This window comes from Homo sapiens, chromosome 15 (genome assembly GCF_000001405.40).
Source record: "Homo sapiens chromosome 15, GRCh38.p14 Primary Assembly".
Classification (NCBI taxonomy): domain Eukaryota; kingdom Metazoa; phylum Chordata; class Mammalia; order Primates; family Hominidae; genus Homo; species Homo sapiens.
The window spans coordinates 32199114-32224268 of record NC_000015.10 but is presented as its reverse complement, the minus strand read 5'-3'; the positions used below and the strand labels follow the sequence as shown (position 1 = coordinate 32224268).

The following is a 25155-nucleotide window of genomic DNA, read 5'->3' as shown; positions in this document are numbered from 1 at the left end:
TCTTTCTTAATTTGTTATTTATATGTCTGTGTGTGTCTCTGTGTGTAAGTGTATATATATCTTTTGTTCTCTCTCTTATTCCCTTATTATGTAACATAACAAGTATTGACTTTTTTTTTTTTTTTTTTGAGATGGAGTCTTGCTCTGTCACCCAGGCTGGAGTGCAGTGGTGTGATCTCCGTTCACTGCAAGCTCCGCCTCCTGGGTTCATGGCATTCTCCTGCCTCGGCCTCCCGAGTAGCTGGGACTACAGGCACCCACCACCACGCCCGGCTAATTTTTTGTATTTTTAGTAGAGATGGGGTTTCACCATGTTAGCCAGGATGGTCTCGATCTCCTGACCTCGTGATCTGCCTGCCTCAGCCTCCCAAGGTGCTGGGATTACAAGCATGAACCACCACGCCTGGCTGACTTTCTTTCATAGTAGTTAAATATTGTCATTTTACAACATGATATTTAAGTTTTGGGATATAAACGAAAAATATAAACATCATCCAATTATTTTGCTTATTTTTCTGGGGAAATATTTCATGTGTTTTTGGTTGTACACAGGATGTTTGCACCATGTTAGGCAGAAGAATGACCTTGTTATTATCTCTTCAAGATGTGCATGGTTGTCAGGTTGACAAGGGATGCTTATGATGATTAATTTTGTATCAACTTAACTGGGCCATAGGGTGCCCAGATATTTGGTTAAACATTATTCTGGGTGTTTCTATGAGGGTGTTTGGAGATGACACTTAACATTTCAATTGGTAAAGTGTATTGCCCTCCATAATGTAGTTGGGCCTCATCGAATCATTTGAATTCCTGAACAGAACAAAAGGCAAACCATACCTTGAGTAATGGAAAATTTTCCAAAAGAGTGCTTTTGGGCTTCATCTGTACCATCCGTTCTCCTGGATCTTACTTCAGATTTGAACTTTGAACTTGCCAGTTTCCAAAATTGTGCAAGCCAAATCCTTATTACATATAACATATGTAATATATTGTATATTATATACACACACACACATATATGTGTGTGTATTTTATGTGTATTTCTCTCTCTCTCTCTATATATATATATAGCAAACAACAACAAACATCGAAAGGCATACAAAGGAGGAAAGTATGGGCTATTCACACACAGAAAAGAAAAAACAGAAACCATCAAATATATATATATATATATATATATATATACAGAAAGAGAGGGAGAGAGAAAGAGAGAGAAAGACAGAGAGACAGAGAGAGCGACAGAGAGACAGAGAGATGTGTGTAATACTCTCAGGAGAACTGTGACTAATACAAGTGGCCTAATGCTAAGTCCAAAGAAGCAACTCTCCTGGGCTTTTAGTGGTGCAGGCTGTCTTTGGGTGTCATTTCTAGACATTAAATCCAGCTGTCTCACTCCTGTCATGGATTAAGCAATTTAATGCCTTGTGCAAAGTCCTTCTCTGCTTAAATTAGTTAGTCAGGAGCCTTTTATCTGTGAATACATTTTCACTGACACACAGAGGGATTATCATGAAGTCATTACAAATATTGTGATTGGTTCATGTCCTTCAACACATAGTAAGTGGCAAAAAATGGGCTGCAAAAACATTACATATACAATGATAAGAATAAAGGGAAAAATAAAATTAAAATTACATATTATAAGAATGTGTTTGTGTATGTGTGTGTATATATCTCTCTCTATATATCTATATATATCTCCAATCCTCCCTCTGACCTATGTACTATTTTTATACACTACAATTTTACATATGCTTTAGACACAAAATCTGTTATTATTTTTGCTTTAAATAGTAAGACTTTAGAGAAATCAAAAATGAGAAAGCCAGTAAATTTTATGTTACCTTTGTTCATTTCTACTGCTCTTCATTTTAAAAGATTAGGAGTGTGGTTACATGATAGGACTAGTTAAGTAGGGAGCTCCAAGAATTGGTTCCTCCACTGAAGCCACCATTAATCTTAGAAAAACTGGCAGAATCCACTTTTACTAAAACTCTGCAATCTAATTCAACACTTACAATAATCAGAGAATATCTATTGAAAAAAGAGAAAGCTGAATTTTAGTAAGAAAAAACTGTGGCTTTTTTCTGACCCACAGACAATTCTTGATTCCCTAGATCACCAGTGGTCCTGGGAATCACAACATGAATTTATGATGTGGCTTGCTGGTGCCACTGCCTGGGTGGTAGGTGGCAGAATATAGACCTTGTTCTGAAAATAAATTGTATTTGTAGGTTTTGACTTATGTGGCAGTTCCCTGAGAGACCAGCACAGAGGCTGACCATTGTTTCATCTCTTTCTGCTGGAGGAGCCTTTTAGGTATCATCTCATGAAAGTGTTTGGAGTGCTACCCATAGCCACCTAAGACAAGTGATGGAGGACGGAGCAGATACCAGATGGTCCTAAAGGTCTGGGAATGAGGTGGCTACTGAGGTAGACTCTTGAGGAAGTAAAGGCACTGCACATAATGAGTAATCTGGAGTGTAAAGTCTACACCCAAAGATAAATACATTCTCATAAAAAGAACTGACAGTGCCCTAGACTTGCAACTCTGGGTATCTTTGGGCATGGAGCTTCATGAAAGCTAAGGCTGAGTTATAGGTGGGCTGTCTAAACAATAAAGTATTGTACCAGCTCAGGGCCAATATGAAAAGACCAAAATCTTTTTTTTGTTGTTTTTTGTTTTGGCTCCAGGCATTTAAGGAAATCTCTATCAGGTCACAGGTCAAATGAGGAAATAATGAAACAGATTGCAAGACTATGTACAATAAAGAATGCGGTCTTCATAAAAATACTTTGCAAAAATAAAAAAACAGAATGCAGTTCTTTACTATCACCATCAACAAACCGTGGGGAGGGGGAAGGATCTGATTATCATAGTTACAATATTATAATATTCACAGCGTCAAGTTTTCAACATCAACAACAAACATCAAAGGCATACAAAAGAGGAAAGTATGGCCTATTCACACACAACAAAGAAAAAACAGACAGAAACCGTCAATGATAAAGCCCTAACATCGGATTCATTAAACAAAGAAATTAAATTAACTATCTAAAATATGCTCAAAGAGCTAAAGTAAATCGTGAACAAAGGAAACTGTGAACAGGAGAATTACATATGAAAAAATAGAGAATAGCAACAAAGCAATAGATATTATAAAAAATGAATGAAGTAGACATTCTGAGCCTGAAAAGCATGATAACTGAAACAAATAATTAACCTAGAGAGGTTCACTAGTAGATTTGAGCAGGCATGAGAGAATCAGTGAATTTGAAGCTAGGACAATTGAAATTATCCAGTCTGGAGAGCAGAAAGAAAAAATAATAAAGAAAAATTTATAGAACCTAAGGGATAAGAAATTGTGGGGGGCAAAATGCAGTGGGATGACATATTTAAAGAGCTTAAAATAAAATAAAACTGTCAACCAAGAATTCTATGTCCAGCAAGCTATCATTCTCAATGAAATGAGAAATTAATACTTTCCCACATAAACAAAAGCTGAGGAAGTGTATCACTAGGAGGCCTGACCTCTAAGAAATGCTGAATAGAATCCTTCAGGCTGAAATAAAAGGAAACTAGACAGGAATTTGAACACATATGAAGAAATAAGAGCTCTGGTAAAGGTAACTATACAGGTAAATACATAAGCCAGTATTATTAAATTTTTGATGTATAACTCCTCTTTTTATATCCTATTTTATTTTAAAAACAAATGCATAAATAGTACTTTTAACTTTGTGTTAATAATCATGCAATGTATAAAAATGTTATTTGTGACAACATAAAGGGGGATACTGAACTGTACAAGAACAGAGTTTTTATATGCTCTTGAAGCTAATTTGATATCAATTCACACTAGATTATTTTAAATTTCAGATTTAAATGTAATCCCCATGGTAAGCACTAAGAAAATATCTAAAAATATACATAAAAGGAAATGAGGTGGGAATTAAAATGACAAACTAGAAAAAAAATCAATCTAACACAAAAGAAAGCAGTATTGGAGGTTATCAGTGAGCAAAGAGATAAAAGACATGCAAGAACTAAATTAAAAAATCACCAGTAGTCACTTTAAAGGCAAACGATTGAACTCACTAGTTAAAAGACAGAGACTGGCAGAATAGATTTTGTTTAAATGGTCCAACTATATGCTGTCTAAAAGAGACTCATTTTAAAGCCAAAGACACAAATATTATAGGTTGAAAATGAAAGGATATAAGAAGATAGTCCATGCAAATAGAGCTAGAGTGGCTACACTAATATTTGATAAAATAGACTTTGATTCAAAAATTGTTGCAAGAGACAAAAAAGGTATTAAATATTGATTTAAAAGATCAATTCACCAAGGAGATATAACAATTGTAAATACATATGTACCAAACAATAGAGCCCCAAAAGATATGAAACAAATATTGACAGAATTAAGGGAAGAAATAGATAGTTCTACTACAAAAATGGTTGGAGACTTTGTACTAGTTTTCTAGGGCTGCTATGACAAGCTGTCTTGAATTGAGTGGCTTAAAACAAAATAAATTTATTATCTCTGAGTTCTAAAGATGAGAAGTCTGAAATCAAATTGTTGGCAGGTCCATGCTCCCTCTGAAGTTCCTAGGGAAGAATTATTTCTTGCCTCCTCCAATTCTTGATGGTTGAAAGCCATCCTTAACATTCCCTGCTTTGTAGCACCATGACTCCAATCTGCCTCCATGTTTACATGGCCTTCTTTCCTGTTTATGTCTTCAGATTTCTCTCATCTTATAAGAACAAAAGTTTTTGGATTTAGGGATTTAGGATTTAGATTTTAATACAATAAAAACTCATCTTAGTTTAATTATATCGAGTTATGGCTTCAACATATTTTTGGCGGGACACAATTCAACCAACAACTGTGGTAATAGACATGTAAAATATGGTGAATGCATGATACTGACAAGGTGTGCACACAGCAACAAGGATATCTTAAAAACACTTATCTGAGGGAAAAAGGAAGAAGCAAAATTGCATTTACGTAATTTAAAATGTATGCATACAAAACAGGTCTACACATTTTATGATGTCATCTACAAGGAAAGAATGCATGCCAACTATTACATTAAATTAAATTAAAATGAAACCTGTGCTCAGGGGTAGAATGAAGCAGGAGATGGGGACTGATAAGGTTTGGATCTGTGTCTCTGCCCAAACCTCATGTCGAACTGTAATTCCCAATGTTGGAGGTGAGGCCTGCGGGAACGTGATTGGATCATGGGGGTGGTTGCTCATGAATGGTTTAGCACTCTCCCCTTGGTGCTGTCCCTATGACAGTGAGTGAGTACTTGCAAGATCTGGTTGTTGAAAAGTGTATGGCACCTCCCCCTTCACTCTCTCTCTCTTCTTCCTGCTCTGGTCATGTGATGTGCCTGCTCCCCCTTCTCCTCCTGCCATGATTTTAAGTTGTCTTAGGCTCCCCTGGAAGCTGAGCAGATGCTCAGCTATGTACTCAGCATCATGCCTTCTGCACAGCCTGCAGAACGGTGAGCCAATTAAACCACTTTTCTTTGTAAATTACCCAGCCTCAGGTATTTCTTCATAGCAATGGGAGAACAGAATAATACAGGAACAAAACATAAAATGAAAGAGAGGCTGTTCTCAAGTTAATAAGGAGCCTTGATCTGAGTGGTATGCTTGATGTCCTGTGCACCTGAGGTCCAAAAAAGAATTGATAATAAAATAAACACATAGAAATAATTGTCAACACTTATTTAGCACTTACCATGTGTCAGGTACTGTGCTAGCTCTTACAGACATACAAAGTAGGTGCTAGAAATACCTCCAGTTTACAAATGAGGAAACTGAGGCTCAAAATGGGAAGGCAAGTCATCCTAGGCAAGGCCACACAGCTGGTGGAGCCAGGAATTGAATTTAAAAATCTGGCTCCAGAGCCCTGTTCTCAGCCATGCATGAGAAAGTTGTCACGCATGCTATATGTCTGTATGTTTATATACAGTCCTGCATTATTTAATGATGAGGAGACATTCTGATAAATGCAACGTTAGGCAATTTTGTCATTGTGTGAATGTCATAGAGTGTACTTACACAAACCTAGATGATGTATATGCATATTATTATATGTATATTATATATATTTATAATATTATATACTTATATATTTATAATATTATATACTTATTTTATATATATTTTTTACATGGAAAACCAAATGTCCCAGCATCATTACTAAATATCAGTCATTTCCCCTACTTGATCTGCAATGCCAATAACAAGTGCCATAAGTTAGGTTTCTATATATGCTCCATTATAATATTATGGGACCACCATCATATATGTGGTCCATTGTTGGTTGAAATGTTGTTATGTGGTACATGACTATATATTCTACCTGTCTATCTATCTTATCAATGTCTAACTAACACAGTAAAAGTATTCTTAACAACTTTATTTCTTGTTTGAGCTCTTAAATGGCATTTTGAAATGTTGTAATATCAATCAATATAAACTTATAGAAATATTAATCATTGAGATTAAACCAAACCAAATCTCTAGGCCAAATCCCTATCAATCTCTTTAAGAAGAGTATCGGATGGTAGTTTGTTCTGTATTTGTGATTATCTTAAAATAGTATGTAATGTAATATAGGAGAGAAAAATCATGAGTATTGAGTTTTCCTTTTGTTTGGAAAATGGCTAAATTGTATCTTATTGAAACTTGATACTATAGATTGATTCCCTTTTCAAATTCCCTTGGATATGGATTTTGTTTGATCTTGATTCCACATTCTCAATACTGAAAGTTTTCTTTGATGCCAGACATCTGGGGGTCACTTAACAAATGAAACAGCAGGGACTCATTTAAGTACCCAAATCTACCTTAGGTCCTAGAGATTGCAGCTGCCCCAGATGTGTACAAATCTGAAGTCACAGAATAAGGACTACAAGATTATCAACAAAAGAATTAAAGTAGGTATGGATTTTACTCACTGCCATTTGACTTCCTTAGAGAGAGATGGCTTGTAGAAGATGTGGCATTTTCTATCTCTCCCCAGAGACACAGTGGGGACTCTGTTTAGTCCTCGAAGGGCACTGTTTATAATATGAAAATGTGCTTCTGGGAAGATTTCCTATGGCTACCACTTTCTCAGATGACCTGGTGCCATATTAATAAAATGTTAAACCCACAAACTCCTGATGAGTCAATAAATAATGTAGGCTGAAATCACTAAATATTATGCCTCTGGGGGCTGTTCCATCGAAATGTACTGATTCAACACTTTTCCGAGAAAGTTCTGCCTCATTCAGCATTCCTGCTGTGGAGTTTGCCAATCTGAATACCAAGGCCCTGGAAGGCTGCTGTCACCTTTCTCAGCACACAAATGATGGGGATGTAAGGCTGGTGCTCATGGAATTGCAATTGCCTCTTGTCTTTAAAGGCAGTTAATTTCTACCCAGTTTCTGAGACTGTGGAAGGAAAGCAGACAAGGTCTCTGCTTGACTAGTAGATTTTGCTCTTCCCCACCCTCACCATAAAGTTCAAAGGCACAAACTGAAAAGATTTTGAAAGCTGGCTCAAAGCCTTTTTCTTCTGTTAACAAAAAGTTAGAGTATTTTGCTTGGGAGGATCAGTTTCATAATTGTATCAGTGCTCCTATTCTAGAATTTCTAGAGCCAATTCTTCAGTAATGGGCATCTCAAGCAAGCACATGCAAGTTGTATGTTTATTAACAATTTTTTTTTAAACTGGCAACGCTTCTCATGTTCCCTTACAGAGGGAGGAAGACATATCTGGAGAGACTGTGGAAAGAGCAGAAGAAAACATAAACTGATTACACCCACAGAACAATTGCTGATGGAACATGAAGGATGCTTTAGGGAAAGCACCCTGATGTTTCACATTCAAATTGCCTCATCATGTGTTTTTAAGGTGCTGCCTGTCTCCAGGCACAGAGGTGCCTGGAACTAAAACCTCAGTGTTTGTCCTCTCTGTATTATCCTTGGCTCCAGAGCAAGGAGAGAGTTCCAGGACAGGTGTGTACAGTGTTTGCAGGTGAATCTGCATGTTGGTCTGTGCACTCGTTTCTCCTTTCCACCCCAGCAGTCAGTGGTGATTTATAAGCATCCTTCTGCATGCCCTTGTGATGTGAGGGAAAGAGCAGAAACATTTGGTTTAGAAAATAAATGGAGTCTAAGTAAGACCTTGAGCCTTTAGTGGGTTAGTTGTCAGCTTTTGGACAGATCCCTTTACCTTCTTACCCTTAGCTTTCTCCCCTATGAAACGGGGCCATGATCTTGTAAAAGGATGAAAATGACATGAGTAATTGCAAATAATTATAAACATCAGGGAAAATTCAATCTACATCTACTACGCCTTCCATTCCTTTTCAACTATGTTATACATTTCTTTTAACTTTAGCTATTCATGGTGCAAGGGATCTTCCAGATCTCTAGAAAGCTAATTCAAAGACTGACATTAGAAAACTTTACAGAAAAAAAAAGATTAAAGAGTTGCAGGCATGGGTGCAAAGAGCAACATAGCTGCTAAAGGAAGCTTGAAATCTTTGTCTAGTCCTGGGGACCCAGCTGGAGTTGTCAGGAATCAGCAGAGCAGGTGTTCAGCTGAGGTTTGGAAGAATTCTTAGCCCATTGAAATACTTTATGGGCCGGGCATGATGGCTCACACCTGTAATCCCAGCACTTTGGGAGGCCAAGGTGGGTGGATCACGAGGTCAGGATGTTGAGACCATCCTGGCTAACACGATGAAACCCTGTCGCTACTAAAAAATACAAAAAAATTAGCTGGGCATGGTGGCAGGCACCTGCAGTCCCAGCTACTTGGAAGGCTGAGGCAGGAGAATGGCGTGAACCTGGGAGGCAGAGCTTGCCATGAGCCGAGATCGTGCCACTGCACTCCAGCCTGGGTGACAGAGCGAGAGTCCGTCTCAAAAAAACAAAACAAAACAAAAAAACTTTATAAAGTCCTGATGCGGTGGCTTATGCCTGTAATCCCAGCATTTTGGGAGGCCGAGGTGGGCAGATCACTTGAGGTCAGGAGTTCAAGACCAGCCTGGCCAACATGGCAAGACCCTGTCTCTACTAAAAATACAAAAGTTAGCCGGGCGTGGTGGTGGGCACCTGTAATCCCAGCTACTTGGGAAGCTGAGGCAGGAGAATCGGGTGAGCCTGGGAGGTGAAGGTGGCAGTGAGCTGAGATCACACCACTGCCCTCCAGCCTGAGCAATAAAGTGAAACTCTGTCTCGAAAAAAAAAAAAAAAAAAAAAAAAACTTCATAAAAATGCTAAAATATTTATCCAGAATGCTCATTTATTTCTAGGATGAGGTTTATGCATTTCATCATGCAAAAAGTTCTGTTCAGGTCAGGACTAGAACAAATATTAATATATATTTACAAATGTTTGCAATGTACAAAAGGCTCTGTTAGTGATCTGCTGTAAAGAAAAAGAAAGGCTGCATCAGCCTTTGAAGTTTTGTTTGCCTTTGAAGCTGGAGGAAGTCATATTGCCTGAGTGCTGCTCTTCACATTAAGAAGGTAGGGCCACTTGAGGGACACCATCTGACAGGCTGCAATCTAGGAGAGACCTACAGGGTTCCAAAGGCTCAGTGTGCTAATTTCTGAAACAGGATAGAACCTCCCATCACCTCAGAGCGATGGGACGGCAGGCAGGCCTTGGCGAGCCTCACTTCATCTCCACCCTCTTCATGAAGCCCCTGACTTTTAGTTCTCTGCCTAACAGTCCAGAAGGGACTGGCCATTTCCAGCTAAAGGTCAGGCTGTCTTAGGCATAGTTGAAGTAACAGAATCATCCTTATTGCTGGTTGCTTTTTTCACTTTTATTTCTTTATTTCCTCTTCTCTTGAGGCTTTCAGAGGCACATTTTGGTGAGAGAAAATAAGTCTAAACATTTATGAATTAGAAATATTGGCTTCTGGCATCCTTGTGCCAGTTGTGTGGGAATCTATTTCTTAATAAGATCATAATTAAGAGCACGGTTGCAGATTGTGACTGTGTTTACAGGGGCCACTGAACTTGGCCTGTAAATAACAAACAAAGTCATAAAAACTATCCAGAGAATAAAAGGTGCGTCCTACAGTGAAGCCCTAAGAGACGGTAGTCCCCAGGCTGGCTGGAGAGCAGCACAGTAGCCACTCTGCTGCAGCGGGAAGGGATTGAGGAGATGTCACGGAGTCTGAGTGGCAGAGCCAGGGCCAGATCCAGCCCATGAGGTCACAGGCTGAGGAGTTTCTGAGTTTCAGAGCCACAGGCACAGCCCAACCCCAGGACTGAAAGATGCCAGTTACTCATCCAGTCCCCAAGGAGTTCCTGCCGCTGACCTTTGAGAGAGAAGACCCCAGGGAACAAGCCTTTCACCAGAAGGGGGAAACTGGAGCTTGAGTAGCTGACATTAAATACTCATGTTGTCTTTGGTTATAGATTTAATCTCCCTGACTCTGTTTATTTTTCGTTTTTGTCTTTCATCATGAGTATGTGGTCCTAAAGCAGTGAATCTCAAACTATGTTTCTAAAGCATCTGAACCTGCTGGGAAATGAAAAGTTACCCACTATTTAATATAAATATACATGCATATACACATACACATACAAATGCATATACAAATACATATGCAAATACATGCACAAGTGCATATACATGAGCATGTATCCACGCATATCATATACATGTACACATACACATACATACATATACACATATAGACATATGCATATACATAGACAAAAGTATAGCTGTTTTGGCTGAAGCTCCGGTCTCACTCACTCAACTCACACTCACCCTCTCCCTCGTCTGGCCTTCATAGTGACACCTAAGCACCCTCACAAAAAGCCTAGGCTCTGCCCAACTCCACTTTAAAACCACTGAGCTTTGATTCAGTCAAAAGCTTGTCCTCACCAACCAGCTTGCCAGTGAATCTGAAAATGTGGACCTTTGCGTGAGTCAGTGCTTTCTGACATCAAAATCTCTTGAAGGAAAGAGGATCGTTCCCCTATTTTAAAGATTGAATTTGGCAAAAAATTTAAAAAAAAGAAGTAAGAATTTCAAGCCAGATGGAAAAAATCTTTAGGGCTAAACAAAATCTCATAAAATGAATGAGGAGGAACTAAGCATAAACTATGTGATATTAATGGGTTAGAGATGTGCAGAAGTTTAGGGAAGATATTATACATGAGCAGAGCATTTAGAGATTGATGGGTTTCTGGATAAGTGGAGGGAAGCAGTGTAGGAGGAAAAAGCCATGGGTAAAATAAAAGTTCCTGATGATCACAGATGTCACAGGACTGGAGGAGTTTGTGCTATAAAAGGGAGAGGGATCGTAGTTGAGATAATGAGAAGATGAGAGAGACTCGTAGGAGCCTCATTATGGAATCTACGGAGGGCTGATAAGGGCAGGGCTGATCCTGTCACTCAGATAGGATGTAGAACGCTATCTCTGAGTGGGACAAGAACTCTGCCAGGCTGGTTCAGGACCGGGCGAGTGAGGGTGAGGTCTTGCTCAGCATTTTCAATGAGTGGGCCAATCAGTGGCTCTATGAAAATGGCAGAGATTCCTTCCTTGGTCCCTGTTGGATAGTCACCTCGTAAAATTGATCCTAATTTCTGACAACTACTCATGAAATATGCCTGCATTTTCCCATGCCAAACATTTGCAAACCATCTATTTGAAAAATTTAAATGGATATTGTTAACTGAAAAAAAAAAATCCACAATTTTTAAATTTAGAAACGGAAAGGAGACTTTTTTCTTATAAAGGGCTACATCCTGCAAGGTGGCCAACCTGCAGGCTGGGAAGCATGCCTCTGGCTGAAGCCCGGAGACAGGCACTTTGAAGGAGAAGGGGTTGAGTTGTAGAAGCTTCATTCTGAATAGGTTGACTAAACACACATATTCAACAAGTTACAGGAGGAGCTGTGAATATTCATGAAGGTGGTCCTGACACATGCCTAGTGAACAAACATGCATGTAACATACAACCCATATTCACCTTGGGGTGGAGAGTTACCATTTAAATTTGTTACAGTTTAGCCCTATATGTCAACAGGTTTTATCAGGAGACAAAGGCACTTAAGTGTGCAACCTCTGTAAACCAGCCAGAACCAGTCCATGATTGGTGGGCTCTTATCAGGAGAAAGTTACTGAAATCAGTCTCTTGTCTGATCGAAGCTGTAACTATGGCTGGCGGAACAGGAGTTTAGTGAGTGAGTGTCTGTCTGTGAGCTGGATGGATTGTGATTGTTTTAATATTGCTTACGTTGAGGCTGGGGCTTGTTTAGCTGCTAGAGAAAAAGAAAAAGCTGTGAGAACATAGTTTATCCTTTCAGTGTAGGGGTGTGTGACTTACCTCTTGCTTGGCATGGTAGGTCCTGTTTATAATTTGGTATCTTATGGCCACAAAGAGTCTGTTCTGTCATTCTTACAGTCTCTATTTTAACATTAATGCTGGCTGTTGTGACTAAACCATAAAAGGGAAGGGGCATAACAAGGCATGTCTGATGTCCCATCCTGTCATGGCCAGGAACTCAGTTTTCAGGTTTCTCTGGGCTCTCCTTGGCCACAATGGGGTCTGTTCAATAGGTGGGAGAGTCTGGATTTTATATTTGTTTATTTAGACAGAGTTTCGCTCTGTCACCTAGGCTGGAGTGCAGTGGCATGATCTCGGCTCACTGCAACCTTCACCTCCCCAGTTCAAGCAATCCTCATGCCTCAGCCTCCCAAGTTGCTGGGACTACAGGTGTGAGCCACAACACCTAGCTTTTTTTTTTTTTTTTTTTTTTTTTTTTTTTTTTTTTTTTTAGTACTTTTTAGTATTTTTAGTAGAAATGAGATTTCCCCATGTTGGTTAGGCTGGTCTCAAACTCCTGACCTCAGGTGATCCACCTGCCTCGGCCTCCCAAAGTGTTGGGATTACAGGTGCGAGCCACTGTGCCCAGCTTGGATTTTATTTTTAGTTTACAACATGCATGCCCACACTTGCACATATATGCACACATGTGTGCACACACATATTTATAAGAAGAAAATATGGACAGCTGCTACAGTCTTCATTTCTGGCCACAGTATCGTAGCTAATATTTAACTCAACTAGTTGGGGATCCTTTTTCTTGTCGGGTGACCCAAACCTTAATTCCCAAAGGGTGTGAGTCCTTAGCAGTCCTGCCTTTGTGAGGTTGCTATTATTGTCCATTTCTATTTCCAAAGGCTGACAAAATAAATTACCACAAACTGAGTGGTGGCTCAAAAAACAAATTGATTTTGTCACAGTTCTAGAGGCTGGAAGTCCAAAATCAAGATGTCAGCAGAATGCATTCCTTCTGGAGGTTCTGAAAGAAAAGCCTCCCTAGGCCCCTCTCCTAGCTCTGATGCTGCTGGCACGTCCTGGTAATTTTTTGGCTTGTTGCTTCATCATTCCAGTATCTGCCTCCATTGTCACATGGCACTCTTTCTGTGTGTGTCTGTGTCTCTTCTCTGTTTCCTTTTTTTTTTTTTTTTTTTAAGACGGAGTCTCACTGTCTCCCAGGGTGGAGTGCAGTGGTGCGATCTTGGCTCACTTCAAGCTCTGCCTCCTGGGTCCACACCATTCTTCTGCCTCAGCCTCCCGAGTAGCTGGGACTACAGGTGCCCGCCACCATGCCTGGCTAATTTTTTGTATTTTTAATAGAGACGGGGTTTCACCGTGTTAGCCAGGATGGTCTCGATCTCCTGACCTCGTGATCCGCCCGCCTCGGTATCCCAAAGTGCTGGGATTACAGGCGTGAGCCACCGCGCCCGGCCTTCTCTGTTTCTTATAAGGACGATAGTCACATGGACTAGAGCCCACCCTTATCCAGCTCATCTACCCTTGATATCATTTGCAAAGACTGTACTCCCAAATAACATCACGTTCACAGGTATTGGGGGTTAGGATTTTAGCATAGCTTTTTCGGGGGACACAATCTAGCCCACAAAATTGTCCACTAACATTTTCTATTATGTGTGGCAGAGCCAAGAAGCACTCAAGAGCATCCCCTGGGTTTTTAGGGGGACATGGTTCTTCCTACCTCCCTTGTGAGCAGAAACCCAATTTCTGCTTAGGGATCAGCCAGGACAGTTACTCTATTCTTTATAGTGGAATAAGAAGCCTCAAATGACAGAATAAAGCCTCAGTATCCCATTCAACAGATACAGCCTTATTTTCTCCAGCAGAAGCACTTCTGTCTTAGGAACTAGAATCTCCAAACCAGCAAAGCACAAGATTCTGGAGGGAGAAGCAAAAATCCTGCAGAAGAAATATGAGAAGAGCCATTTCCAATTATGCCTCTTTGATTTCCAGACTCCTGTATTCTGTTGATTGATTGCTGCTTCAAAGCATATACTACTTCCAGAATGCTGTCACTTTATGGGCGCTGTAACTGAGTATTCTCAGGCCATTGTGCCATTATATCAGGACAAGGCAGAAATTGGTGGAGGTCAGTGTTACAATCTGCTTGCCCTATCATGTGGCTGAGTGGTTCCCCCGGGAAGTTAATGCTGCTGAACCCTTGAGTGGCTTCTATCACCACTTCCTTAGCCACTTTATACCCAGACCCATTGAGCAAACACCCCGGAGCCTTCCAGCACACCCACTGAATGTGTCATCACATCCCCCTGATTCCTGAAAGTCTCCTGTGTAGCAGATGACCTTCAGGGAACATTCACGTGGGACACAGGTATGCCCCACCCTGTGTCCCTTCTGAGAAGTCCATTTACACATCTCTTCTTCAGTCTGTCACTAGTTATCCAATGCCATTCTTTCCCAGTCTCTGACCATCTACTCAGAGAACCACACATGAATTTGTGTAGATCTGTACTTCTGGCCATCTGTTACGCAGATAAAATGAAAAACTAAATTTTACTGCTACAAGTTTTGTCCACTGGGAAGCTATCCTTTTCCCTTTGTTCTTCAGCACTATCCTTGAGTGAGACAGTAGCATTGGCAGCGATCCACTTATGGCTGGTGCCAGCATAACAGAACCATCTGCAAACCAGCTGCCGTAGGCAACTCCCAATGAGGTCCTAAGTGTAAATTATGGGAAGAAAAGATGGAGAAGAAGGAAAAGATGGAATCGGAGTCCTTAGCAGTCACCTGCTCATGAAACCTGTTTCTGGACTTGCCGAATCTTATTCTCCTCCCACCTTATGGCCTAGTGTGTCGGTGCATAGCCAATTCATGATGAACAGTGGTCATGAAGTTCTCATTTTGTCTTGACAAAGCTCAATAGCATAGCAAGATAAGAGTTGATTCTTAAAATAATAATTATATGCAGAGTAGAACATGGCTTTTCTCCAAAGCCCTATATATTTGCATTGCGATTCTCATTTGGGCTTGCCAGAAGCTCCTGAAAACAGATATTCAATTATGCTTTTATTTATTTATTTATTTATTTATTTATTTATTTATTTTGAGACGGAGTCTCGCTCTGTCACCCAAGCTGGAATGCAGTGGTGAGATCTCAGCTCACTGCAACCTCTGCCTCTTGTGTTCAAGCAATTCTCCTGCCTCAGCCTCCCGAGTAGCTGGGACTACAGGTGCCCGCCATCAGGCCCGATTAATTTGTGTATTTTTACTAGAGATGGGGTTTCACTATATTGGCCAGACTGGTCTCGAACTCCTGACCTTGTGATCCGCCTGCCTCGGCCTCCCAAAGTGCTGGGATTACAGTTGTAAGCCACCACACCTGGCCTTCAATTATACTTTTATGTGTGTCCATATGGCCCCAGTCACTTACCTTGGAGCTTTGTTGGTTACTCAATAAATGGGTTGGGACAGCACTCTCAAATGTGGTATTTGTTGCCTCCAAAGACATTTTCTCAACACCGTGCCCATTTTTTAGGGGTAGGTAATAGATGAAATAACAACTTCTGTTTCACTTTGGAAGAAATGCCCAAACATGCTTCAGACCACAGGGCCATGAGAAACCTCCCCAAGGCATGGGCCTCGAGATTTCATGGGGTTTATTGTTCACTCTTTGCCACACATGTGTCTCATTAAGACATTTAGGGTTCTTGCTGTGCTTGCTCACCAGATTCAACCAAGATGGTGTCCTGGGTATGGTGGAAGAAGATGTTCTCTGGGATGCAGACATTTCCCTGAACAAGTCCATCACAGAGAGCAGGAGAGTCTGGCCTCTTCAGATGTGAGCCATCATTAAGTTCAAATTCACTCCACCATCCATGCAAACTGTGAGAGCTGCTCCATGGTGCCCAAATCAGCACATTCAGCTAGAATCTCTGTAAGTGCTCTCACATGGATGGGGTCAGCCTTATTCAGTGTTGAATTCTGTGCTCTGTGGTGTAATGTTCTTAGGATTCATGCACTACATTTACCCATGTTTCTGGTACTTTGAATTGGTGAGTATTGCCCTTTTTATCATTTTTCTTCCCTCTCTCTTTTTTTTCTCTCTCTCCTATAAACCATGTCCTTCTGGATTGGACTTTGCTTTTCTCCCTGTGGAACATACTTGACATTTGTGACCCTAATTATGGGTCTCATGCACTAATGGGTGATGGGAGTGAGCCCTGAGAGTTTTAGATATCACCTTACCAGGGAGCTCAAGCATGTGAAGTTATTAAAAGGTCTTCAAATAAGGGAAGATTCTACAGGCAGGGAGAGGAGGCTGCTTCCTTCAGCAAGGATGGCTTAGAGAGACTTGGGGTGTAAATTTCCCAGCTTTTCTTGAATCCACACAGATAACCCAATTCCAAGTCTTGGAGAGCCCCCTGCTACAATCAAAGCCTAACTTTTACACAAATGTATTGGCGAGTCTGAGGATTGAACTTACGCTGTAATTTTGTACCTACTCCATTAAATTCTGCATCTATTTTATACAGCTCTATCTGCCTTGCTGCTTGTAAGTAAAACAAAGATGTTTTGTTTTGGTTTTAGTGTCACTGGAGAAGCTGTCTGATTCTCTGAACATGACGCAAGCCTTGCTGTCACCACCACCGTGAAGGTCAGATACAGCACCCAAGGTACTTGCTGCAATAGGCCTTTCTTCCCCTGCAACTGAGGTGATAATTGAATCATAATACCACTGCACGCCTTGGGTTATAGGAATCCCGTTTCCCACTCAGCATTGCATTCAAGACAAAGGACATACCAAGTCAACCCTAACATCTCACATCAGATGTTCATAAACGGCTCACATTTTCTGTACTTTATGCATATTTTTTTACTCATAAAAGAGTCAAGGGGAAACAGCTTTGAAGAAGGAGCCCAAATGATATTAGCGTTCATACTTATTTTTAGACTTCAAAAAGATAGGTATCTAAACACTACTTACTGGATAAATGTAAGGGTGTATTTTAGCCATTGTAGATTTCCTAACAGTAATTATTAACTATACAACCATACGAACTCATTATTAAGTACTTAGTGTGCTTTTGACATCAGCTCCATCTCGATTTCTTTGAATTGCATGAGCTGTTTTGTAGGACAGTACACATCTGTCCTGGAAGTGTCCCAGAGAGCCAGCAAACCCCTCACCTGCTGGACTGTGGCTGTGTTGGGAACCTGTCTACGTTTAAAACTCCAATGCTTTGACTGAGTGGTATTGGCTGGATAAAATCTGTGGTCTTTGTGAGCTCTACAAGGGCAAAGCTGGTTAACTTGTTCATTTCAAAGGAGTAATCTTAATATTGTTAATGTGGCTTGTGGCATCAAGGTTATTAGAATTTAAGGACTTAATAGATTTCTCCATCTACTACATCAATGGTAATTGTAGAAATTAGCTAAAATGCACTACTGCTTAAATGCAATGGAAAAATATTTCTTTCTTCCTTTCAAGACTTTAAGAGGTCTGAAATGTTTCTGTCCAGGCCCTTGCGCCTCTGCCACCGCTGTGAGAAGTACATATCCTGGCCAGCCTGCTGACTCAGGAGGTTGAGAATCAGGTGCAGCAGACCAGAGCACTGCTTCAGTGTCAGGGTAGAGCTGCTCCATGACCCAGAGATTCATACGAGTAAGTTATTTTCCTCAAGACCAGTGAGTTTGTTACACAACAGAATTGTGGCCATACCCAACCAATACAGCATGAATCTTTTCCATTACGTTACTATACAATTACACAATTGATCGTTCTATATGCATTGTTTTGTTAAACTGCATGTCTTAGGGATCCTCCAAGGTTAGTACCTATAAGCCAAACTTATTCTTTTTAATGGCTGCAGAGTATTCTGCAGTATGGTTATAGCAAAACTTATTTATTCATTCCCCTGTCGATGAATATCTAACTTCCCAATCTCTCCTTAAATCAACAATGCTGAAATGAACATTTTTATGTATATATGCCTTTTCACACTTGGGCATCATATTTAAGATAGATTCCTGCTGTAAAGTTTATGAATCAAAATATGTACATATTTAAATTTTGAGAATTACTGCCACTTTTTCTGAAAGGCTACACATTTGCACTCCCACCAATGATGAATGAGAACATTGATTACCCTGCCTCTTCTAAATTAATCCCAGCCTAATAGATGAGGAAAAAGTCTCATGGTTGTAACATACTATTTCTTGATTTTTGAGTAAGTTTAACACATTTTCATATGCTTACTATGTTTGACTCTTCCGAGAGAGTATGTTCATGGTCTAAATTTTTCTATTAAAATGTTTTTCTTTCTTATCAATTTTAGGATCTCTTTATATATTCTTGATATTCATCCGTATTGATTAAATATGTTACAAATATTATCTACCAATCTACCACTTGCCCATTGACTTTACAGTGTTTTGCTTTTTCACTAAAGAAGATTTTAGGTTTTTATGAAGACAAACGTTTCATTAGATTTATGTAGGACTTTTGATTTTTGCACATTGCCTAGAAATACTTGTACTTCACTTCAATATAATGAAACCACTCCGTATATTTTCTTTTACTAAATTTACAATCTTAACTTTTATCTGGCATTTATACCATTGCACTATTATGAAAACACTCTATAATGTTTTCTCCTAATAAGTTTACAGTACCATTTTATATCTGAACATTTTTTATAATGTAAGAAAAAATTTTTCCTATAGATATCTAATTATCTCCAAATTATTTATTGAATGAGCTATTCATTTACTATTGACTTTAAACACCATTATCTTTGTCATAAGCTACTATCTCATTAACAGAAGAGTATATTAATTTTTAAAGAGTTTTAAAAATTTTATAGCAAAAACACATAAAAATTTACATCTTAATTGTTTTTAATGTACCGTTTAGTAGTATTAAGTACATTCACATTGTTGTGCAATCGTGACCACCATCTATCTCTAGAAATTCTTTAATTTGCAAAACTGAACATGTACCCATTAAAAAATAACTCATCATTTCACCCTCAAAAGGGTGAAAATCCTGGAAAGCCTGGAAACTGCCAGTGTACTTTCTGTCTCCATGAATTTGACTACTCTATGTATCTCATATAAGTAAAATCATGCAGCATTCTTTTTATGACCAGCTCTTTCACTTAGCCTAGTGGCTTCAAGATTCATCCATGTTGTAGCACGTGACAGGATTTCCTTCCTTTTTTAAGGATGAGTAATATTAAGGATATATTTCTAAAACCTCGAGCCTGTTTATCTGTTTTATTTTTCTACTTTGGTACAATACTACAATGTTTTAAATACAACAGATCAATAGTGATAAGAAAAAGCTGGTATAGTTGGATATTTGTCCCCTCCAGATCTCACGCTGAATTTGATCTCCAGCGTTGGAGGTGGAGGCTAGTGGAAGGTGCTTGGGTCACGAGGGCAGATCCCTCGTAAATGGCTTGGTGATATCTGCTTGGCAGTGAGTGAGATCTTTTTCTAATAGTTCATGAGAGAGTTGGTTGATTAAAAGAGCCTGAGCTCCCCTTCCCTCTCTCACCCTCTCTCTCGCCCTCTCTCTCACCCTCTCTCTCGCTCTCTCTCTCACCCTCTCTCGCTCTCTCTCTCACCACAACATAAACCTGCTCCCCTTCACCTTCCACTGGTGGTGGAAGCAGCCTGAAGCCCTCACCAGAAGCAAATGCTGACACCATGCTTCTTGTACAGCCTACAGAACCATGAGCCAAAGAAACTGCTTTTCTTTATAAATTACCCAGCCCTAGGTATTCCTTTATGGGAACACAAAATGGAATGAAATACAAGTAAATTTGCCATCTTATCGTTCTCTTTGTAAAAATGAATTAGACATTCTCCACTGCTGTGGTCTGAATATGTCCCCCAAAATTCATATGTTGTAAACGTAATGCCCAATACAACAGTGTTGGGACATGGGGCATTTTGAGAGATGTTTAGGTTTCTTCAAATTGATATCATTATAAAAGGGCTTGAAGGAGAAAGTCTGGCCCCATTTCACCCTTCCTTCCTGATATGGTTTGGCTGTGTCCCCACCTGAATCTCATCTCGAATTCCCATATATTGTGAAAGGGAACCGGTGGAGGTAATTGACTCATGGAGGCAGATCTTTTCCGTGCTGTTCTCGTGATAGTGAATAAGTCTCACGAGATCTGATGGTTTTAAAAATGGGAGTCTCCCTGCAAAAGCTCTCTTCTCTTGTCTGCTGCCATGTGAGACATGCATTTCACTTTCTGCTGTAATTGTGAGGCCTCCCCAGCCATGTGAAACTGTAAGTCGAATAACCCCCTTTCTTTTGTAAATTGCCCAGTCTCGGATATGCCTTTGTCAGCAGCATGAAAACGGACTAATAATACACTTTTCTTCTGCTATGTGAGGACACAGCATTTGTCCCTTCTGGAAGATGCAGCATCCAAGGCACCACCTTGGAAGCAGAGAATAGCCGTTACCCGATAGTTAAGCCAGCCAGCACCTCAGTTGGACTTAGGCTGTAGAACGGTCAGAGATAAATTTCTGTTCTGCATTAATTACCTAGTCTCAGATATTCAGTTATAGCAGCACAAAACTGACTAAAACATCTGCCATATGAATTTTAAAAACCTTTTATCAAGTTCATAAAACTTTCAGTTAAATTGAAAATTTTCTTTTTTTGGGGGGGTTTATTATTATTTTTATTTTTTATTATACTTTACGTTTTAGGGTACATGTGTACAATGTGCAGGTTAGTTACACATGTATACATGTGCCATGTTGGTGTGCTGCACCCAGTAACTCGTCATTTAACATTAGGTATACCTCCAAATGCTATCCCTCCCCCCTACCCCTACCCCACAACAGGCCCCGGTGTGTGATGTTCCCCTTCCTGTGTCCATGTGTTCTCATTGTTCAATTCCCACCTGTGAGTGAGAACATGTGGTGTTTGGTTTTTTGTCCTTGTAATAGTTTGCTGAGAATGATAGTTTCCAGCTTCATCCATGTCCCTACAAAGGACATGAAATCATCATTTTTTATGGCTGCGTAGTATTCCCTGGTGTATATGTGCCACATTTTCTTAATCCAGTCTATCATTGTTGGACATTTGGATTGGTTCCAAGTCTTTGCTATTGTGAATAGTGCTGCAATAAACATATGTGTGCATGTGTCTTTATAGCAGCATGATTTATAATCCTTTGGGTATATACCCAGTAATGGGATGGCTGGGTCAAATGGTATTTCTAGTTCTAGATCTCTGAGGAATCGCCACACTGACTTCCACAATGGTTGAACTGGTTTACAGTCCCACCAACAGTGTAAAAGTGTTCCTATTTCTCCACAGCCTCTCCAGCCCTGTTGTTTCCTGACTTTTTAATGATCGCCATTCTAACTGGTGTGAGATGGTACCTCATTGTGGTTTTGATTTGCATTTCTCTGATGGCCAGTGATGGTGAGCATTTTTTCATGTGTCTTTTGGCTGCATAAATGTCTTCTTTTGAGAAGTGTCTGTTCATATCCTTTGCCCACTTTTTGATGGGGTGGTTTGTTTGTTTTTTTTTTGTAAATTTGTTGGAGTTCATTGTAGATTCTGGATATTAGCCCTTTGTCAGATGAGGAGATTGCAAAAATTTTCTCCCATTCTGTAGGTTGCGTATTCGCTCTGACGGTACTTTCTTTCGCTGTGCAGAAGCTCTTTAGTTTAATTAGATCCCATTTGTCAATTTTGGCTTTTGTTGCCATTGCTTTTGGTGTTTTAGACATGAAGTCCTTGCCCATGCCTATGTCCTGAATGGTATTGCCTAGGTTTTCTTCTAGGGTTTTTATGGTTTTAGGTCTGACATTTAAGTCTTTAATCCATCTTGAATTAATTTTTGTATAAGGGGTAAGGAAGGGATCCAGTTTTTCATGAGATGTATAGATTAACCTGGAGATAATTTACATTTTCCATGACTGTATCTTTCAGTGTAGGTATAGGGTATGTCTCCTCTTATTTTTTTTTTTTTAACATTCTTCAACAAAGTTTACAATTTTATTCACATCAGACTTGTATACTCTTTGTCAGGTTTATGGTAGAATTTGCTGGCAACTCTTCAAAATTTAATCAACCCTTTTCTTTGTGCAAGCAGTTAGATTCCCTTCCCAGCTTCCCTTGCAATTAGTTGGGGTCATATGACTGAGGTTGTAGTTAGTGGAATTTGAGCAGAAGTGATGGATGTTACTTCCAAGCCAGGACCTTAAAACCATCCCACACTTTCTCTAAGCTCTCTTTCCTTCCTGCCTTGGATGACAACTCCCAGGGTGATCTTGGGAGAAACCTGTGGAAGGTGACAGAACCCCTGTGTCCCTGAATGATGCAGTGGAGCAGAGTCCCAACCTCCCCCTCTGGACTGCTGCCCTGGGCTTTTGGATGAGTGAAACATGAACTGCTCTTGGATGGAGTTGTTACACGTTTGAGTCTGTTACTACAGCTGATTCTACCCTAATCAGTATCAAACCAGTGACCTTAAGAAGGTGTGATGCCACAGATGAGCCCTGAAATACATGAATGCCACTTCCAGGCCACCCCATAACAACCTTACATACACACTCTTCCATGCTTTCCTCCTCTCTGGCTAACCAGGATTGCAACTCCATGATAGCCTTGGAAGCAGGGTATAAAAGATGGCAGAGTCGCTGCTCACCTGTGCACCCAGAGCCTCCACACCTGCCTGGAACCACCTGGAACGTCACGTTGCTAAGGGAGTTGTTAGATATTGGGGTCTCTGTAATGCTAGAAGAGGTTCCATTTAGATAATAAAAGTTCTTCTTTGGGGTTTTGTGTGCATTTAAACAATTGGTAATGGCATTTGTTTCTTTCTATCATGTTTTCTAATTGGTTATTGTTAGTAAGTATTTTTAAATGTTTATTTTATATCAGACCACCTTACTAGTTAATATAGTTTATCAGTTAATTCTGTGAAATTTTGGGGTAGATTATCAGATAAAACTTTTTAAAATGGCAGTTTTGTCTTTTCTTCATGCTGTCTGTACAATGTTTCTGTATTTACTGCTAAGATTTCTTATTCACTGTTTGCATAAAAGTGGTGCTAGTAGGTGTCCTTTTCTTGTGTATAATTTTAACATGAATATTTATGATATTTTGCCATTAGCTATTATGTTTGCTCCAGTTTTCTAGATCTCTCTTATACAAAATTAAGAAAGTTTTCTTTTATTTCTAACTTCACTGTTTTGCTTTGTTTACATTTTTATCAGAAATGTAATCAGGATGTTGGTTTTAGCAAATGCTTTCTTGATATTGATTGAGATGATCTTGTTTTCCTCTTTTAATCTGAAGACATACAGAATTGAATTAATAGATTTTGAAACTATTGAATCATGTTTGCATATCTAAGTCTTGATTTTACAAGACACACACATTTTTAAAAATCATTATTCTGTGAAATTCGCTAAGATTTTTTGGGGTTTAATTTCTGCAGCTCTCTGTGTTAGTGAGATTGGCTGATCTCATTTAGTTTTGTGTCAGCTTTGTCTAGTTGTGGTGTTAGTTTTATACTAGCCTCACAGAATAAGGTAGCAGCCTTCCCATATTGTTTGATGCTACAGCAAAGTCTGTATCACACAGGGATAATCTAATCTATGAGCTAAAGTTTCATAAAATTTATTAACTCAAGAAAATCCCTGAACTTGGTTTCATTATTATGGATAGATTTTTTTCTTTTTATTATCTTTTAAATTTGGTTTAGATGCTTTTGACTGTTTGAATTTTGTTTCTTATTAAGTTAAAAATGATAATTTATAGTGTTCTCAAAAACTGTCCATTTAATCTAGACATTGAAATATATTAATTTAATATCTTATATTTTAAATATATTTATATATTTATACCAGCTTGCTTTTAAAATTATATTTGTATTTATATTATATTACAAAATATTTTTAAATGCTCTTTTCATTGCAAAGAACTGTCTTTTTATTTTAGTGATGAAATCTGTGAATTTTAGCTGCTAAATCATTTTGTTTAAATCTTATTATATTGCTTCTACTTTCTTTAGGTTGTTTTTTCTTTGATTTGATTACATTTTTCAATTATGGAAAATTTTCAGCTGTTAGCTCCAAATACCTCCTCTCCATTCTTTCTCTCCTAGAACTCTTACAGATTGTGCATTCTATCATTAATTCCTCCTAAATGATCATTCCCAGTCGCCATTTTTTATATATCTGCTGTAATCTGAGTGATTTCTCAGTGCTAATGTCTACCTCACTGATTCTCTCTGTTGCTATTTCTATGTAATCTGTTGAAAACTGCATCTATTGATAAATTATTTTCTTTTTTGCTATCCTTTCATTCTTTATTTTTAGTTTATTTGTTTTATGGAAGGAAATATGGCTTGTATCATTTTTGCTTTTAGGAATGTGCATAGCTTTTCTTTGCAGCCAGACACATCATCTATTTTTGTGCCTATCTGGGTAGGGAGGATTTCAAAAACACCTGGAGGCAAGAATAGGGAACATTAACTGCCTTAAAACCAGGATCAGTCCTGGCTCCCCAGGGGCTCAGCTCATTGGCTCCAGACAAGAGTTCTGATCTGAACATCTGAGTTAAGAAAAAAGACCTCATGTGTCTTCCTGTGCCATCCTGCTGGAGCAAGAGCCAGGAGACCTACAGGAGCGCTGCTTCCTCCTCCCTTTTATGCGCTTGTCTCAAGTCTGTTTTGGAGGCCATTGCAAAGGTGCTGCCTGCAGGAGCCAGCCCTCTGGGCGTGTGGAGGGAAGGGCACACTGACTAAGCTGCCCACAGGAGGGAAGCG

At 39.4% G+C, this 25155-nt stretch overlaps 1 long non-coding RNA gene across 11 annotated transcripts in view; it reads left to right on the top strand.

Annotated features, from left to right (window-relative positions):
* Positions 1–25155, top strand: part of LOC102724078 (uncharacterized) — a 187103-nt gene that overhangs the window by 118799 nt on the left and 43149 nt on the right. For 8 of the 11 annotated variants that reach the window (XR_007064561.1, XR_007064566.1, XR_007064562.1 and 5 more), the window contains exons 3-5: positions 16071–16277; positions 16931–17016; positions 17863–18005. This is a non-coding gene — a long non-coding RNA (uncharacterized LOC102724078). The other 3 variants (XR_007064559.1, XR_007064568.1, XR_007064569.1) reach the window with 3 other exon arrangements.